General features: G+C 44.7%; 1 protein-coding gene across 33 annotated transcripts in view; it reads left to right on the top strand.

Moving 5' to 3' along the window:
* MYT1L (myelin transcription factor 1 like) overlaps positions 1–19,683 on the top strand; it is a 542,163-nt gene that overhangs the window by 367,513 nt on the left and 154,967 nt on the right. The window contains exon 1 of one of the 33 annotated variants that reach the window (XM_017003620.1): positions 9,648–9,718. The exons of the other annotated variants lie outside the window; for them this stretch is intronic. The gene's annotated coding sequence lies outside the window, so the exon portion shown is untranslated. Of the gene's footprint in view, positions 1–9,647; positions 9,719–19,683 lie in introns of those variants that run through there. 33 annotated transcript variants of the gene reach the window in all.

Genomic DNA, 19,683 nt, shown 5'->3' with positions numbered 1-19,683 from the left:
AGGTAAGGCAAGGAAGATGTAGAAGAAAAGTGTAAAACTAGCAGAGGTGGGTTTATGAGGTTTCAGGGAAGAATCTGTCTCCATAACTTAAAAGTACAAGGTAAAGTAGCAAGTGCTGATGGAGAAGCTATAGCAAGTTACTCAGAACCTCTAGCTAAGATCATTAATGAAGGTAGCTACACTAAATCACAGATCTTCAATGTGGACAAAACAGCCTTCTATTGGAAGAAGATGGCATCTAGGAATTCCATAGCTGGAGAGGAAAAGTCAATATCTGGGTTCAAAGCTTCAAAGGACAGGCTGTCTCTCTTGTTCTGAGCTAATGGAGTTGGTGACTTTAAACTGAAGCTTATGCTCATTTACATTCTGAAAATTCTAAGGCCCTTAAGAATTATACTAAATCTACTCCACCTGTGCTTTATAAATAAAAGAACAAAGCCTGGATGACAGCACATTTGTTTACAGCATGGTTTAGTAAATATGTTAAGTCCACTGTTGAGACCTACTTCCCAAGGGGGAAAAAAAATTTTCTTTCATTTCTTACTGCTCATGGGCAATGCACCTGGGCACCCAAGAGCACTGGTGGAGATGCACAAGGAGGTGAATGTTGGCTTTATGCCTGCAGACACAACATCCATTCTGCAGCCCATGGGTCAGGATTAATTTTGACTTTCGAGCCTTATTATTTAAGAAACATATTTCATGAGGCTACATCTGCCATAGAGAGTGATTCCTCTGATGGACCTGGACATAGTAAATTGAAAATCTTATGGGAAGGATTCACCATTCCAGTTGCCATTAAGTACATTCGTGATTCATGGCAGGAGATCAGAATGTCAACATTAACAAGAATTTGGAATACATTGATTGCAACCCTCATGGACGACTTTGAGGGGTTCAAGACTTCAGCAGAGGAAGTCACTGCAGATGTGGTGGAAATAGCAAGAGAACTGGAATTAGAAGTGTTGCTTCTTAGGGCTGAGCAAAGCAGGTGGTTTCTTGAGATAAAATCAACTCCTGGTGAAGATGCTGTGAACATTGTTGAAATGACAACATAGGATTTAGAATATTCCATAAACCTAGGTGATAAAGCAGTGGCAGGATTTGAGAGGACTGACTCCAATTTTGAAAGAAGTTCTACTGTGGGTAAAATGCTATCAAATAGCACCATGTGCTACAGAGAAATCTTTCTTGAAAGGAAGTCTCGATCGATGTGAGAAACTTCCTTGTCTTATTTTAAGAAATTTCCACAGCCACCCCAGGCTTCAGCAACCACCACTCAGATCAGTCAGCAGCCATCAGCATCAAGGCAAGACCCTCCGCCAGCAAAAAGATTAGGACGCCCTGAAGGCTCGGTTGATCGTTCTCATTTTTTAGCAATAAAATATTTTTAAATTAAGGTATATACTTTGATTTTTAGACATAACACTATTTCACATTTAATATTCCATAACTTTTTGTCAAATATTTATGTATTTATTTAAACACCTACTCAACAATTGATTTTTGTGCCTCTCTGGGGTTAGGAACTGTGCAAACACTGGTGATAGACACAGTCTACTTTAGATTAACATTCTAGCAATAGAAAAATGCATGCAAGGTATTAGTACATTATAACCTTATATCTTAAAAATTAACAGGAATGATGGACAATGCAATTCATATCTTATTAATGTGTAATAGATGTATGTAGTTTCATAGTACATGTGATAATTTAGTACATTCATGTAATTCGTGGAGATCAAGTCAGTGTACTTGGGATATACATCACCTTAAATATTTGTCTTTATGCTAGAAACATCCAAATTATTCTCTTCTAGCTATTTTGAAATACACAATACATTATTGTAAACTACAGTCACCCTACTGACCTATCTAACCTTAGTTCATATTTCTTCTGTCAAACCGTATATTTGTACCCATTACTCAGCTTCCTTTATATTGTGCTGGGAAACCAAAACATCTGTGTGAGTTGCTTGATTGCAGTGTTCACTTCATTGCAGTGTTTGGAACCACGTCTCCGAGGCCTGCCTGTACTCAAGTTCTAGGTCTGGATCATTGTATAAAAGTGCCTTTCAATTTTAAAATCATAGACATTTAGGCCTGAAGTGGCTATTAAAAGAGTTTGTGTAGCAAGAGCCTGGGAGTCCTTTCATATTTTTCTGCCTACCTCTAACCTGCCAGTGTGGGTGCACGAAGCCCGATGGCAGAGGCCCAGCACACGCGTCTTATGCACAGCCAGGCAAAGGTGCTGTCAGTTCTGAGCAAGAACTGCTTTAGACACCAGCCCTGCCTTCTAGAGACACACAGGCTAACCAGGGACAGATACAGCTCACTGTGGCACAGGTGATCTTGCATGCCTGGGAATGTTCAGTGAGACCAAGAAGGAGTGGGTAAATAGTGGGCTGGACTTCCAAGTCAATACCTTTTTTAAATTTTTATTTTTGTTTAATTTTATAGATTGAGGGGCACAAGTGTGGTTTTGTGACACGGATACATTGCATGGTGGTGAAGTCTGGCTTTTAGTGTAACCGTCACCTGCGTACTGTACATTGTACCTGTCAGGTAACTCATCCAGCTGTTTTATTTCAGAAATTACAATATTTGGTAGGGAATCACATACAGCCAGGTTTGAAATGATCACAGGCTACTGTGGTCAGGTAGAAGATGATATGATACTACAGATTGCTAAAAATGTATTCCGCGATACTAATTGTTGAGTGCTAACTGCACGCACAGCTCTCTTTCAGAAACAGTGTTTAGGGACAAGGAGATGGCTCCCTGCCTTGGCAGCATGTGTGATGTCATCTGTGCAACATGGACAGTCACAGATGCACACATGCACTGGAAGTTCAGGGACATGCACAGGAGGGTCCAGGGAGGCGGGTGCACTGCGGGAGAAGCCCCAGGGACATGAGCACCCAGAGAAGCCTCTGAGCTGCAGGTGACATGCAAGGAAGGGTCCAGGGAGGCAGGTGCATTGTGAGAGAAGCCCCAGGGACATGAGCACCCGAGAGAAGCCTCTAGCTGCAGGTGACATGCAAGGAAGGGTCCAGGGAGGTGATGCATTGTGGGAGAAGCCCAGGGACATGGGCATCCTGGAGAAGCCTCCTGAGCTGCAGGTGAGGTTTTCCCGTGCGACCTCTGCTAATGTGGCTGAAACACTCAGCAGGAGACTAAGACGAGTCTGGGATGGCAAACAGAATATTGGCAGTATCAGTCTTATTTTCCTTCATGCCACTTACAAATGCATTACACTAAGCACGTTGACTTTAATTTAATAAATGGCTTGGACACAAAAATTTCAAACTTGACATTTTGAAAAAACTGGAAGTTAGAATACTTTTATTTAGTCCCAGCTTTGGCTTTAGCTAGAAGTAGGGCCTGGGACAAGGGGCTTCACCGTCCCCCGCCCTGTCCTTGGTATTTTCATGTGTGTAAAGTGCGGATGAGCACCAGGATTCTTCCAGGTCTAGTCCACATTCTGCATTCTTCAGTTGCCATGTGATGTTTTACTTTACACAAGGAATCATCACTTTTCCTCAGAGGCCATATCCTTTTTCTGCATGTAAAGCCTTGTATGTCGTCTTTCCACTGCTGTACAGTTTCTGCCTGTGTAGACAATTTCTTCCCAGGTAGATTGTACCAGCTCCCCAGAAGACAGATAAATCCTCTGAGGTTTCATCTCCCGTGTGCTCCATCTTACAATACAGCTCATGGGGGCCAGTCTTTAAATGCTTCCTGGAAAATGTTACTACCTATGAAATAAAAAGATAATAAATAGTAGGACAAATGACTGAAAATATATAAATAAGATCATTTGCTGCATGCCAATGGATGGCACTAGGTCTTCTTCTATCTAAATGTATAATTCATAATAAGATATGATGGCTTTGCCTTCATGGAAGCCCTCTTGATTACATCCTAATATTCATGGCCTCCACACCGTATGTGGCTGCACTGTGGACAGAGGACCGTGTCCCATGCGGGAAGAGAGCTGATTCAAAGAATGTGCAGCATCTCTATCTGAGCACAAATGTGTCATGGTGCACTGAGAGCTGTAAAGGAGGTGTGTGAGGGGCAGAGGGATGGAGCGGGGGCATAGCTCCATTCTCTGCAGGTAGCCAGGGGCTTCCCAAGGGAGGAGACCCTCCTGCTGACCTTTGAAGGAGCTATAGAATTGACTGGGAGGAGGTGTGTGGGATTCCAGGCTGAGGGAGGACCTTGCATGAAGGCACGGAGGCATAAGAAAACATCTCATGTCCACAAATCCATGCCAGCCAATCAGATGCTTCTCTGAGTGCCCAGATGTACCAGATGCTGGACTGTGACCCCTGAAGTCACAGCCCTGTCTCTACTCTCCAGGAGGGACTTTCACATCCAGACGGTCTGAGAGGTCACAGGCCTGTCTCCGCTCTCCAGGAGGGACTTTCACATCCAGACGGTCTGAGTTTGGTCTTCTCCGAAGGAGCAGATGTTCGTTCCTGGCTGTATCTTAAGGCACGTGGACCAGGAAGCCCAGGAGCATGATCTGGAAAGAGCAGATCCGCATGGCTTCTCAAACTCTCCACCTTAACATTGTGTCCAGCCTTCTCGTGGCAGGTTTCATTTTGTTTTTTTTCACAGCTATGAGATGATCTGACACCTATTGATTGTTGATGTCATCATGCATTCTATTAGCATTTATCAAACACCAAGACGCTGACATCCCCAGAGGGATTCAAGCTCCCCACCGATTCTTTTTTGTGACTGATGTTTTATAATTTATGAGACTGACCTATTTCCAAATGAAATCCAAGAGGAAGCCCCTTGCAATAAGAGCTGTTGAAGGAAACACTGGGGAATCCTACAGAGAATCCTAGAATGAGGGGCCTCTGCAGTCGGGTGGGCCGGCTGAGCCCCCACCTCTCATAGCATAGTGAACAGCCGGAAAACCAGAGAATCCTAGAAGAAGGGGCCTCTGCAGTCGGTTGGGCCAGAGAATCCTAGAAGAAGGGGCCTCTGCAGTTGGGTGGGCCGGAGAATCCTAGAAGAAGGGGCCTCTGCAGTCGGGTGGGCCGGCTGAGCCCCCACCTCTCACAGTGAACAGCCCCCATGGAACCGGGATCACGAGTGTAGAAAGCAGGCAGCACAGAGCGGCTCTGACGGAGGGCAGCAGCTCCTGGAGCCCTGGCCAGCTTGCCCAGAGGACCCTGAGACACCTCTTCAAGGCCCCCCGATTCCAGAAAACAGCTGAGGCCGCTTGAGGATCTGATGAGCCCTTTCCTATGACAAATGAGTCACCTAACACCTGTAGTGATAAAGCAACCCTATCTGGGTTCCATCTGCAGTGGCCACATCCTCGTCCTCCCGCTCCCTGGGTTCCATCTGCAGTGGCCACATCCTCATCCTCCAACTCCCTGGTTTCCATCTGCAGTGGCCACCTCCTCTTCCTCTGGTTCTCTGGGTTCCATCTGCAGTAGCCACCTCCTCATCCTCCGGCTCTCTGGGTTCCATCTGCAGTGGCCACATCCTCGTCCTCCAGCTGTCTGGGTTCCATCTGCAGTAGCCACCTCCTCTTCCTCCAGCTCCCTCAGCAAGTTTTCTGCGCAGACATGAAGGAAGCAATATTGCATTTCTCTAAAACAGAAAAAAAAAATGTTCTGCAACTCAGACCTTAGCGACAAGTGCAGTGACCAGGCATGGCTGCATTTGAAGACACTCCAGCAAAAACGCATGCATTTTCCACTGGGCAAGGAGGGGAAGCATTGGGGGCATGCGTGAGCTTCCCTCTGCCTTATCAGACACTCCCTGCTTGGGGCCCAGCTGGAAATGGGTTGAAGCCTTTTCAGCAAAACAGCTCGTCGTTCACCTTAAATGAGTGATATGGTCATTAAAACAAAAACAAAAAATAAATAACACACTGAGGACCTATTGTGTGCCAGGTGTGCACTGCAGGATGATTTTTCTCTGGTGCTCCCTGGAGACTGGGAGGCTTCTGAGGAATCAGCAGAGAGAAATAAATGCTCGGCGACCTTCATCTCAGAAGCTGGTGCCAAGGAGGAAGGAAGAGCTGCCCACTGCTGCACCTCTGTAATTCATAGATGACAGATAGATTGATAGATTATAGATGATAACGATAGATAGATGACAGCTGATAGATGATTAGATAGATAGATAGATAATAGATAGATAGATGGATGATAGGTGATTGATAGATGGGGAGAGGGAGAGATGATAGAGTGGGGAAGATTGATAGAAAGATGACAGAGGTAGGTGAGTGGGAGCTAAGCTATGAAGACGCAAAGGCGTAAGAACAATCTAATGAGCTTTGGGAACTCTGAGCAGGAGGTTGGGAGAGTGGGGGAGGGGGAGGGATAAAAGACTACATATTGGGTACAGCATATACTGCTTAGATAACAGGTCCACTAAAATCCCAGAAATCAGCATGAAAGAACTTAATGCACGTAACCAAAACCACTCATACCCCAAGAACTATTGAAAATTTTTTTAAACTTTCAAAAAAAGATAACAGAGTAGATGGATGGTAGATGAGATGACAGGTGCATAGATGATAGATGGATAGACATGCACTCACATCTCATGGCCTCACACTCAAGCCACGCGCCCAGTGAACCCTATCTCAATGGAGCAGGTGCTTGTTGTGACATGCAGCACCCCTCCCTGTGCCCGGCACTCTGCCATACACCTCTGGTTAGAAACTGGACTGGGCACAACCAGTGTCCCAGCCACATGAGGCATCCTCATGGCCCTGAGGACCCCTTCCTGCTCACACAGAGCCACGGGCTGCAGACAGATGGAATGGAGATACTGAATTAGAGAACACAGACTCTAGAAGGAGGAAGCACAATGGATATTTTGAACTTGTCCTCAAGACACCTTTCCTGTAAGATTCTACCCCATTTCCATCTGAAACACATGGATTTTTTTTTTTGCTTTTCACTAGATTACTGTGTGAGAAGAACTGCCTGTCCAAAACCAGTATTATCTGTCACAAGAAAATATTATATCTCTTGTCAACTTATATCTCTTGTCAACTTGTCAACTTGTCAAGTTTAGAAAGAAGATAGACAGGTAATCATGATGATGATGATAGATAGATGATAGATAGATAAATAGATAGCTAGATAGGTAGGTAGGTAGATAGATAGATAGATAGATAGATAGATAGATAGATAGATAGATAGAATAGGAAATATAGAATAGGATAGATGATAGATAGATAGATAGATAGATAGATAGATAGATAGATAGAATAGGAAATATAGAATAGGACACATAGAAAGAATAGGAAATATAGAATAGGATAGATAGATGATAGGTAGATAGATAGATAGATAGATAGATAGATAGATAGACAGACAGATAGAAAGAATAGGAAATATAGAATAGGATAGATGATAGATAGATAGATAGAATAGGAAATATAGAATAGGACACATAGAATAGGAAATATAGAATAGGATAGATAGATGATAGATAGGTAGATAGACAGATAGAATAGGAAATATAGAATAGGATAGATAGATGATAGACAGATAGATAGATAGATAGATAGATAGATAGATAGACAGCTAGGTAAATGAACAGGCAGACAGATAGATGGTAAAATAGGTAGATAGACATAGGTAGGTAGAAAGACATGTAGATAAGTCATAGGTAGGTAGATACAAAGATGGATAGATAGATGATAGGTAGATAGATAGATAGATACATAGATACATAGAACTAGGGATGATGAAGATCTACAGCTTGGAACATCATATCCATGACAAACATAACAAAAGCAGTCATATTAAGCTCTATTAAATATACAACCTAAGCTATATTTCCACATGTGGTGACTTTAGAGTGGGGCAGCATGCACAATTAAGAAATCTCATGGGTTTTCCTTGGACAAGTATTTCTAATGGTCATTTGAAAAGTACATAAATAGGATAAGAATAGCTGTGTCCAGCCAAGATATTATCAAACACCATATAGGCATCCCAGGACAGATGGGTTCAGTTATAAGGTTATGCTTCAACAAAAAAGTGCAGACATGGCAGCTTGTAACTGACCATTGCCACAGAAATTAAAATTGGGGAGATACCATGGAGCAAACGTTCTTAATCCTCTTTATAATAACCAAGTCTTAAGGTTTATTATTTGTAGCCTGATGCCCATTAAACTATTGAGCAACTTTGGAAATCTATGTGGAGCAACAGCTTGTATTTTGCTTGCACTAACTTGCTAGAAAATGCATATTTAATAAGCTTAATGATCTCTCTAGAGAGGCATATTTTGCCTGGATAGAGTGTAGTGTGGTGTGTATGTATAATATTTTACATATAATATATTTATATGTGATTGTAGGCATGATCATAATTCTTTGAGCTAAGAGTGTTCAAATGTATATCTCCATCATCAAAGTAAAAATAGAGATATCTAATCATTCAAGTACCAGAATTTTACATATTTCACAATTGAATAATTTCTTACCAACCACATCAAGACAAAGTCCTCTGTCCTGAACATCTAAAGAAGGGGCATCTTTAGCCATTTTTTTTTTTCTGCATTTTCTTATAACTTTTCCCTGGTGCAAACATGTAGCTCGTAGAATCATATTTTTTTTTTTTTTGAGATGGACTCTCTGTCTGTTGCCCAAGCTGGAGTGTGCAGTGGCTTGATCTTGGCTCTGCCTCCTGGGTTCAAGAGATTCTCCTGCCTCAGCCTCCTGAGTAGCTGGGATTACAGGTGCATGCCACGACGCCCGGCTAACTTTTTTTCTTTCTTTCTTTCTTTCTTTTCTTTCTTTCTCTCTCTCTCTTTTTCTCTTTCTCTCTCTCACTTTCTCTTTCTTTCTTTCTTTTTTTATTAAGTAGAGACAGGGTTTCACCATGTTTGGCCTGGCTGGTCTCAAACATCTGACCTCAGGTGATCCACCCATCTCGGCCTCCCAAAGTGCTGGGATTACAGGAGTGAGCCACTGCACTCAGCCAGAATCATACATTTTTATAAAGCTTGTTTCTCACTTTTTCAAATCAATTGTAATTACTATCATTCAAGGTGGTAGTACTGCTGTAACTTCAGGGGTCCCTGGAAAAGAGAATGGCACCAGTGCTATCCCATGAGTCTTTGAGGACCCCTGACAGTGGAAAGTGGAACAGCCACTTGCTGCTGATGTTGTCCCGGTGGTTGCTGTGAACACAGCACACCAAGCAGAGAATCTCTTCACAACTGCACTAAATGCAGGCCCATCGTCTGTGCTGCTGTGCTGACGTTCAGTGTGTCCTAGCACCTTCCTGATGTAGAGCACTGGTGTGGACGTATGCATGGTCACAAAGACAACACTGAAAATGTCATTGGGATGGACTGACTGCACGTGTGGTGTTTGTTTTCGGCAATATCCTCTCTGGACACGTTATTCTACGTGACTGTGGCTGGGGCGTCAAATGGGCAGTGGCCATGGCTGGAGCATCTAACGGGCAGTGAGTGCCAGCAGCAGTGGCTACGCAGCCTCGCGTTTGCCGTATGTTTTCTGACTCACGGTGACTTCAGCGTTTGTGTTGGCCTGGCAGGGGAGGTGCTTGCTTAGAGGGTGGAACGTCTAGCTCTGTACAACCTGAGGCTTTGACTTTGTGCATGCCACTTTATTTTCTAGGTGAAAAGATGGATTAAGTGATTTTCAAGCTTTCTCCCTCCACCAGATTTCTCCTGTCCTGAGGGTGTTGCACTAGTAAGTAGAGTCCCACTCACTAGCTTGTAGCAAACTGGACACTCCAGGGAGCCCCGTCAACCTTCTCAGGTTTTTCACTAAAATGGAACATCACTTAAAGAGCACCCTGGTAACCTGAATATATTCATACAGCAGCTTAGTTGGCCAATCTCACTGCCATGAGGTAGGTGGTTAGAATACTTCTGTGGTAACATTATCAACATTCTAGTCTTGCAAGTGGCAAGGGTGGTGAGTTCTGTTTTGGCAGAAAAGAGGCAGTATGATTTCGTGAAAAGCAGATGCTGATAGAAACACACCGAAGCACTGGCAGACCAGTCAATCCACTCAGTCCGTGGAAACAGAGGTACTGAACACCCACCCCTTTGCTTCGCACAATGGGACTTGGAATAATTAATTAGATGGCAAAGCCTCTAAAACCAAAAAGAAAACAGCTAAATTGAGACAATAAGATAAGCACACATGGAAAATCAAGAGCAACGCGAGGTGGTTGACACTTAGATGGTAAATGTCTAGCGACACAGAGTTGCTAACAACACATGACCCTGAATTCCAGGATGAGCAGGAATGACATGATGGAGAAGGGGGAACTTGAGATGGGTCTTAAAGGATCAGTAGGAGAGAAAATTCCAGCAAGAAGAATCATAAATGAGCATAGAGCTGTGGGATGAGAATGATGGAAAATGGGCAACAGTTGTGAAGGGTGACTGTGGACACGCAGTGGAATCTCACATGCTACAGCAAAGGGGTGACCAAATAGTTTAACTTCTTAAAAATTAAGTAGACGCTGGGCGTGGTGGCCCATGCCTGTAATACCAGCACTTTGGGAGGCCAAGGCAGATGGATCACTTGAGCCCAGGAGTTCAAGACCAGCCTAGGCAACATGGCAAAACTCCATCTCTACAAAAAATACAAAAATTAGCTGAGCTTGGTAGTATATCCCTGTGGTCCTAGCTACTCTGTAGGCTGAGGTGAGAGGATCACCTGAGCCTGTGGAGGTGGGTGGAAGGAAAGAGGAAAGAGGAAGGAAGGAAGGAAGGAAAAGAAAAGAAAAGAAAGAAAGAGAAAGGAAGGAAGGAGGGAGGGAGGGAGGGAGGAAGGAGGGAAGGGAAGGAAGGAGGGAAGGGAAGGAAGGGAGAGGAAGGGAAAGAAGGAGGGAAGGGAAGGAAGGAGGGAAGGGAAAGAAGGAGGTAAGGGAAGGCAAAGGTAAGGGAAGGAGGGAGGGAGAGAGGAAGGGAGGGAGGGAGAGAAGGAGGGAAGGGAGGAAAGGAGGGAAGGGAGGGAAGGAGGGAAGGGAGGGAAGGGAAGGAAGGAGGGAAGGGAAGGAAGGAGGGAAGGGAAGGAAGAAAGGAAGGAAGGAGGACAAAGGAGCATTGTTGGTGCTGATGGCTGGGGGTGGTGTGCCGTGGCACACAAGGGTTCGCATTAGTTCAAGTCTTTCAGCTTTAAAGGAACAGAGGCACACTTGGGAATTGGGAACTGGAATTCCAAGAAGAAAAAATAGACATATAAGAAACAATCCCAGCTGTCGGAGAACCACGTCTCCTGGAAAGCTGGTTTGGAAAACGTGCATGCGAGCCTCCCATTTGCACTTTATCTACCTCCAAGATGCGCGTCCACATGCATTGACAAATGGTCAAAGCCCGAGAGGTACCTTTACTCTCATTATTGAGTTCAAAAGAACTAGTGTTCTGGAATTGAAAGAGATTAAATTTAGTGATTATTGTAACTTTATTTGAATCTTGAATTACTATTCAAGACAATAAATATTTAATAACTGGCTACATCATTTAAAGTGACTTTAAAAAGATAAAAAAACAACTCCCTGCATTCCAGAAACTGAGATTATTTTTAAATTCCCTAAGAGGTTCAAGTAAACATTTTAAACAATTATTTGTTGAATGTTTTTCATGTATAGAACGTGTCTGTCAAGTTTAAGAAAATACATAGTTTTCAAATCAGCTATGCCTTTGTAACAATACAGAGAAAAAATAACTTTAAAAAATGTTAAAATATATTTAATGTAATATTTTAAAAGGAAGGAAGTATGTAGTTAAAACTGAATTGGTTTTATTAGTATATACGTTTGGTTGGAAATGCTAGTTATTTAATTGCATAGTTCAATGATTTCAACTATTTCTGACATCTTTTTAAGTGCTTTTATGTATTCTAGAAACGTATAAGAGTAACGCTTTAAAGGGCTAGTGGTGAGAAAGGATATCAACTGTTCTTAAGACATGAGAAAGGAAATAAGAAAAGGAGAACTCAGATTTGGGAAGCACCCCCGCTTGCTAGTCGTTGGGTGTTTCATGTGGACTGTTTTTCGTGTGCTGCCCTAAGTGTGTAGCATGGGCACTACCCTTCATCTCACAGATGGATAGACTGAGGCTGAGGTAAATACATCTCCCGCGGTTAAACAGGGGCAGATCCTGGAGCGACTTGGTGAGGTGCACAGACCTTGTGCTGATATTACTAACATTTACGTGGCTCTGGTTGCTGTTCATGGACCACTCAGATCTGGGTGATGACCCCAGCCTTCTCTCTTTCCTGTGGATGTGACCGAAGGTCTGTGGTTGTGTCTCCTGGGCTAGCCCATGTTCTCTGTTTCCTGTGGATATGACTGAGGGTCTGTGGGTTGTGTCTCCTGGGCCAGCCTCATGCTCCCTGGACCCATCCCCTGACCTCTTCATCTCTGTCCCCTCTGCTGGCCCCTTCTTCCCTCCCCAGTCCCCAAACCCCTGTGTCCCTAAGGGTTCAGGGTGGAGCCCTCACTCTTCCCAGGAAACTGCCTCTTTCCCCACCATGTCTACAACATCCACCCACTGACTGCCCCAAACCAACACTTCAGCCCTTCTAGAGGTCACCTAAGCTGAGACACCTCAAATTTAGCAACCACAGAGAAGTATGGTATTTCTGCATCTGAAAAAGAAGAGATTATAGAGAATCACCTGTAAGCCTCTGTTCCCAACCAAAACCAAGCCAGCAAAGACCTGAGTCTCCCGTGTCTTCCGTACCAGTGCACACACCTCCACCTGCCAGTTACCTGAGCTGGCAACCAGGCCGCGTCCCACATGTATCCCCTCACCTCACTCCTGCATGTCCTACCTGTACCTTCCCAGGCCAACCTATGACCTGACATTGCTCCTTAAATGACCTTCCACCATCTAGCTCTCCTTTCCTCCACCTCATTCTCACACCACAGCCACAGTGATGGTTTTGCAGGCTTGAGTCAACTGTGTAGAAGTAATCCCACTGTCTACACTGTCCGGAGCTCCCACGGCTCCTAGGAGGAACAGCACCTGGGAGGCCCTGACTGCCTGCACCCTCACACCTCCAGCCTCTGACCACCTCCTGCCCATGCAGCCTCCCTGAACTCGCCCTCTGGGTCCCTCTGTCTCTCTGCATCTCTCTGTGTCTCTGTCTCAGTCTCCTCCCTGTCCCACATCCATCTTGGTCCCCTGTGAAGCCTCCTCTGTCCTCTCTGGCAGGGTAACTGTCTGTGTCTCTGTGTCTGTGTCTCTGTCTCAGTCTCACTCCCTGTCCCACACCCATCTTGGTCCCCTGTGAAGCCTCCTCTGTCCTCTCTGGCAGGGTAACTGTGTCTCGGTGTCCCATGAGGTTGGGAGTAGGTCTGTATTGCTCAGTGACATGCTTTCCAAATAAAGGAATAAATCAATCATGCAATGTATTCACTCAGCACATATTTATGTGGCACCTTCTTACTATGTAACAGGCATTAGGGAAAAATAGATATTCTTATTTAGTGAGATCCTTACCATGGCCCAATAAGAAACAGGGTTGGATTAATATCCCCCTTCAGAGATCAGAAAATCAGGACATGGAGAAGGGGTTTGCAAACCTCCTCCACTGTTACTCAGCTCTGTGATTTTACACAAGTGACTCAAAAAATCTCTGTCCCTCAAAGTTAGGAATTACAGCAGAATCTACATCACAGGGTCACCGAGAGGGTTTAATGAATTTGTGTATATAGAGATTTTAGAAAGTGCCAAGCACACAGGAAGCACTTTCTAAGCAGTGCTGGTATTAACTGAGCTGGTTGAAAACCGGTGCTCCAGAATTATATTCAAATGCAGTTTAAATATGTTAAAAATTATTCCAAAATAAGTGTTTTAACATTGACCCAATGGAGGCTATTCAAGCAATACAAGAAAAATACCATCTCTAAAAGAGGTGGTTGTGGGGAATCACTGTCAGGCCTCTGAGCCGACTGGTCAATCACCCTGACGTTCCGAGCCCCGCTCTCTGGTGGGAGAGGCCCACGCACAGGACACTTCCCACCCTCACCTCGTTCCTCTCTCCACGGCGGTGATAACAGCAGTTGGGAGCAGAGCACACGCTGCCAAGTTTGGTTTTCAGTTACTTGAGACCTTATCCCTGTTTATATTAAAATTGGATAAACAAAACATTCAATAAAAGACCTTTATACATGACATGGAAGTGCGAGAATGCACTACATAATGTTGTATGTGTATGAGTTTGTGAGGGAAAGCCATGGCCAGCAACTGGTTTCTAGAATAACCAGATGCAAAAAACTGGAAGTTGTTGACACCGAGTTAACCACAAAAGAACTGTGAAAGCTACAACAGCAAAAAGACATCGTGAGGCATCCGCATGGGCCCAGGAGGCATGGCCCAGGCTGGCTTGGAGGGGGTGGGGGTGACGGGATGCCAGGCCTCCATGTGTAACCCTGCGTAACCTAAATAGGGTGAAAACATGGAAAGGCCAGGTTTTCTCATTTCTAATCCAGCATGCGTTTGCCTTTTCACTCTACCCAAAGTGTCTTGGACTTCCACTCCTGTCGCTGGCTGCTGCTGAATTGTGAGAAGTCCAAGGATAAGACAGCATGGTTTTCTGTGAGATGTGGCCACTGCTAGCTTCCCTGCCTTGCTTCTGCATTGAGAATCATGTTATGGACACACTCTGGAAAAATGACGGGAGGGGTATTTTGTCAACAGAGAACTATTGAGCTACCGTGATCTTACTAGTGATCATATTTACGACTTCTTTGAAGTTTCAACTGTGTGAAAAAAGAGACAGTGCATTATTTTTGGAATCTTAAAATATCATCATCCTAAAAATATCCTAAAGATATAAAAATATCTTTTTAGATTTATATCATAAAAAGAGATATAAATCTAGGAGAGGATATGTGAGTAAACATCATTCTGTCAGTGCATTGTGGATGTTGAACTCAGTCTTGCAGAATGATGTTCAAATACAAAGGGCTGCCTTTGTGCCTCAGAGGTTTGCAGTAGCCAGCTGCGGAGCCATGGAGGTGACCAGAGTGCACAGCATCTCTGAGGCACTGACAGGGTGAGCTGAGGTCCTGGGCTGAGCCCTTCACTGGTGTTGCTGGGCGGCACCACCAGTGCCCCCACATCCTCCTCTCTTTCCAGATCACCGCCCCATCAGCAGACACGCTGTTCACAGAATACGAGGGCAGGAGGATACACACTCCCCAAACTCATGTCCCAGAATTGCTTTCCAAGGCCTCCATTTGAAATATTCTAAACCTTTGGAGACCAAGAGGGCTGTGTTGATTTAAGCAGGGCCTCGAGCCACGTGGAGTTGAACACAGATGTAATGGAATGTGCCTGGTGGTTGAATGTGTTGCCACCATGGAAGTAGATACCAGGAACTGCAGTAGGAGAATGGATCAGAGAGAGAAGGGACAGAGGGTACTTGTTTGTAGTTGGGGATACGACTGTATTCACGCTTTACATTAACAAATAGAGAGCAAATCGTGAGCAATGAACCATGTCAAATGGCAGGAAGCACTGGAAGTTTGACGCCAGATGATTCCAAAAGTTGCTACGCTGAATCCAAGAGCTTGCAAAATGTAGGGATAGGAAAGTAAAACCAATTCAAGTGAAAATAGAAGACTAGAAGGTACTGAAACGTACACTTCATCAGAAAGTTCCCACCACGGGAAGGGAATCATTTAGGAAATTTAAAACATGTAAAGCTTTAGAGAGTAAAGGAACAGCCGACGCTTCTATCACATCGATAGGTAAACTAAGGCCCAGCCGGAGTCCGGGTGCTCAAAGAGGTGTTAACAACACCAAGCCTGGAGCTCACGCCCTTGGTCGTGTGGTGTGCTCTACACATCACCACCCTGGATACGCTCAGGCTGTTTGTGAAATGTTTCACATATTAAACCAAACCCTGCTTGATAGGATTATACCAATATTGTCCTGGCAGAGACCAGATGAACTCCTCACTTTTCTTTTCCATGTGTACTTGACTTTCCACACACACTCACCTTCTCCAACTATCTTGATCAACTATTTTTTTTCTACTCTTGCTTATTTATTGTCCCTCTTCCTCCACTACCTTCCCATGCCCAGCAAGTTCTAATGGAGTAGGAGCCATGGCAGCTGCCAGGAGATGGAAAAGCAATGAAAGTGGGCGGGCCCTCTGCAAGGGAGCCAGCCAGCTGCAGGTGCAGGGGAGTTCAGAGGACATGTGAGCAGGAGGCAGCCCGCCTCCCACGCCTCGATGGCCCAGACATGTTCTCCAAGGTTGGGACTCAGACACCCACCACAGCAATGCCCTACGGCCCAGACCCCATCCTCTCAAACGTCCTCCTAGCCGGATACATTGTCCTCCAAACTCTCAGCTGTCCCAGGTGATCATGAGTGAAGCCCAGTTGTGCTCACTTCTAACTGCAGCATCCATTCTAAGGAAAATCTCCACTCCCCTCCTCTAAACCTCATGGGGCCAACATCGCACAGTCTGAACAACAAGTGAGCCATCTTGAAAAGGAGGGCGGCTGTGCGTGTGAATGAGCAGGGAGAAAATGAAACAGGAGCCCCACCTTACCCCCAGTCACCTCACTGAATAGCACCAAGCCAAGTGGGGTGACATCACTTCCCAGCAATCGGGACTCATAGATGGTCACGGTGGGCCTAGTTATCTGTTTTAGTGAATGGTGCTGTGCAGGTGGCCTCAGTGCAGAACAGACTGTGTCAGACAAACATATTGATGCACTGATGAAGGAGAAGGAAGCTGGGAAAAGCTCCGGTCATTATGACCCGCGACACCAAGGGCAGGCTCTGGAGGAGCCATCCGTGCACAGCTGCATCTATTATCTGCTAACTGAACAAACACAGAAGGTATCCACCAGAACAAGTCTACTCAGATACAGGTGGCCCTGCGAGGAGGTTGGTTGGTGTTGGGCTTAGACTTGACAGGTTGTCCGGTGGTGATTCAGCATGAAGGTGTGGCTGGCTCTGAGATTATTATCTCAGATTATCCCCTCACAAATGAAAATATAAAAGGAATCCCAGAAATCTGTTTATTTCATATTTGAAATGTTATGTAGACTATAGATGAATTTTTTTTCTTGAATTATCTGGTGATTAAAATTGTTATTCTTGTTTTGCTTATTATGTTTTTAAGGGATGATAACGTTTCACCCTAGTGTTTCAGGGCTGATAGAGACTTAGAAGTCATCTAACTGCCCTCATCTTACAGACTTAAAAAGTGGCATCCAAATTGATGAAGGGACTCCCTGAGTCACGCAGCAAGGTGGCAATGAAGTCCCTCAGCTCTTGCCCCTACCCCATGCTTGTGTCTTCCTGGGCAGCGGTCCCCATCCTTTCTGGCACCAGGGACCAGTTTCATGGAAGACAGCTTTTCCATGGTTTGGGGGTGGAGAGGATGTAATTCAAGTGCATTATATTTTTTGTGCACTTTATTTTTATTACTACAGTGTAATATATGATGAAATAAGTTTACAACTCACCATAATGTAGAATCAGTGGGAGCTTGTTTTTCTGCAACTAGATGGTCCCATCTGGGTGTGATGGGAGACAGTGACAGATCATCAGGCATTAGATTCTCATAAGGAGCACACAACCTACATCCCTCACATACACAGTTCTCAGTTCTCAGTAGGGTTCAAGCTCCCATGAGAATCTGATGTGGCTGCTGATCTGACAGGAGGCAGAGCTCAGGTGGTCATGCGAGCAATAGGGAGCAGCTGTAAATACAGAAGAAGCTTCGCTCGCTTGCCTGCCGCCCCCTCCTGCTGTGTGGCCCAGTTCCTAACAGGCCACAAACCACAACCTATCAAGAAAAACTGGCTTCCTAAGAAACATAAAATTGTTTCTCTTCCCTTTCGCTAGTGCAATTGGTCTAAATCGTTTTAGAAGTATTGATAGAAGAAACAAACAGGACAATCATTAGTTTCCAAAACTTTAAGGAGCGACATGTTTGTTGGATAATTGGATACCTGAATAAAAATAAAAAATAGCAAAAGTTTCTTGTTATTATCACTATTACACAGCAGTTCCTATCATTCATGGAGTACCTAGCAGGTGCCAGATTCAGTACTAACCTCTTTACATATATATATATTTTTTCATTTCATCCTTAATGCAGCCATGTGAGATTAGCATTTTTCTGACTTTACAGCTGATGATGTTAATGTATAAGGTTGAACATCTGTCCAAAGTCAGTTGACCAACAAGACCTGCCATGGGCAATGCAAGCTCCTCCTGGTCCACACACACTGTGTCCTGCTCTCACGCTCTCTCCCAGCACCTTCTCACCCAGGGTCTGACTGTACCAAGGAGCTCCCTCACGGCCCTTGGTCCTCCTGGCCTCTCTCATCTGTCTCATGATCTGGGCACCCTCCTCAGCTCACTTTCTCATCCCAGTCCCCACCTGAACATGGCGCTGGCTGTCTTCTGCTCCCCGCATCTCTAGCCTGCACCTCCTCTCTTCTGTCCTCCGCTTCGCACCTATCCAACATGCATTTTAATTGCATTATTGAGTGCTTGAAAGAACTCGTATCACTCCCTGTTTCCTGGGTCAAAATCCAGAGTCCCATCATTCATCCACGAAGTTGATTGGACCCCGCCGGACTCTCCACTCTGACCTCCACCTCCTGGCCCAGCCCCGCTCTATGCTCCAGCCTTTGGGGTTTGCTTTTGTTTTAGTTTTCTGAGCCCCTGGTGTTCTTACATATGTTCATGTCTTTCGCAGATTGTTTTAATTGGGATGTATTGAAATGCTTTGTTTCCCTCCCAGACATCCTTTACATATCTGTGAAAGCTCATCAGCAGCCTCACCTCTTCCTGAAAGCCTTGCTAGCACCCGTGCATGCCTGCCCTCTGTGTACAGGACATAGAGCCCTCTGCACGTTTTCATTATGGGATTTATCACACTTCATCCTTTCATTCCGCAAATGCCTATTGAGTGTCTATGACATGCCAGGTGTTTGGTGCATGGTGTACACAGGAGTGAGAGGTTCTAAAATGGTATTTGTGACTTGTCTAAATCCCTTGTTAGAGCATAAAGCCTTGGTGTGAAGATCTGTGCCACTCATCTCTGAACTCCAGCATAGCCCATGACCCAAAATAGAGGAGTTGCCCAAATAGTACACACTGGTCAGGGTCATGACTGAATGATCATTCACTACCCCAGATCCAAAGCCAAGCTAGTCAAGGTGTGCAGGAGCCCCCCTGCAGAATAATGGGCCAGTGAGAGAGGCCACACCTCTCACCCTGCAGAATAATGGGCCAGTGAGAGAGGCCACACATCTCACCCTGCAGAATAATGGGCCAATGAGAGAGGCCACACATCTCGTTCTGCATAAATGGAGTATTTGCCTGCGGTAGTTTGCCTCTATGTCTCCCCTAACCCACCTATTTTTTTGTAGTATATATATTATTTCTACAACAAAAGTGAATTTGTAATGTAGCTTTGAAAATCATTCTTTCTCAATGAGAACACTTGGAAACAGGATGGGGAAAATCACACACTGGGGCCTGTCGTGGGGTCGGGGAAGCGGGGAGGGATAGCATTAGGAGATATATCTAATGTAATATACCAACATGGCACACATATACATATGTAACAAACCTGCATGTTGTGCACATGTACCCTGGAACTTAAAGTATAATAATAATAAAAAAAAGAAAATCGTTGTTTCTCAAGGA

Source organism: Homo sapiens, chromosome 2 (assembly GCF_000001405.40).
Source record: "Homo sapiens chromosome 2, GRCh38.p14 Primary Assembly".
NCBI lineage: Eukaryota > Metazoa > Chordata > Mammalia > Primates > Hominidae > Homo > Homo sapiens.
The sequence above is the reverse complement of the archived record's forward strand: the minus strand, read 5'-3'. Positions and strand labels throughout refer to the sequence as shown.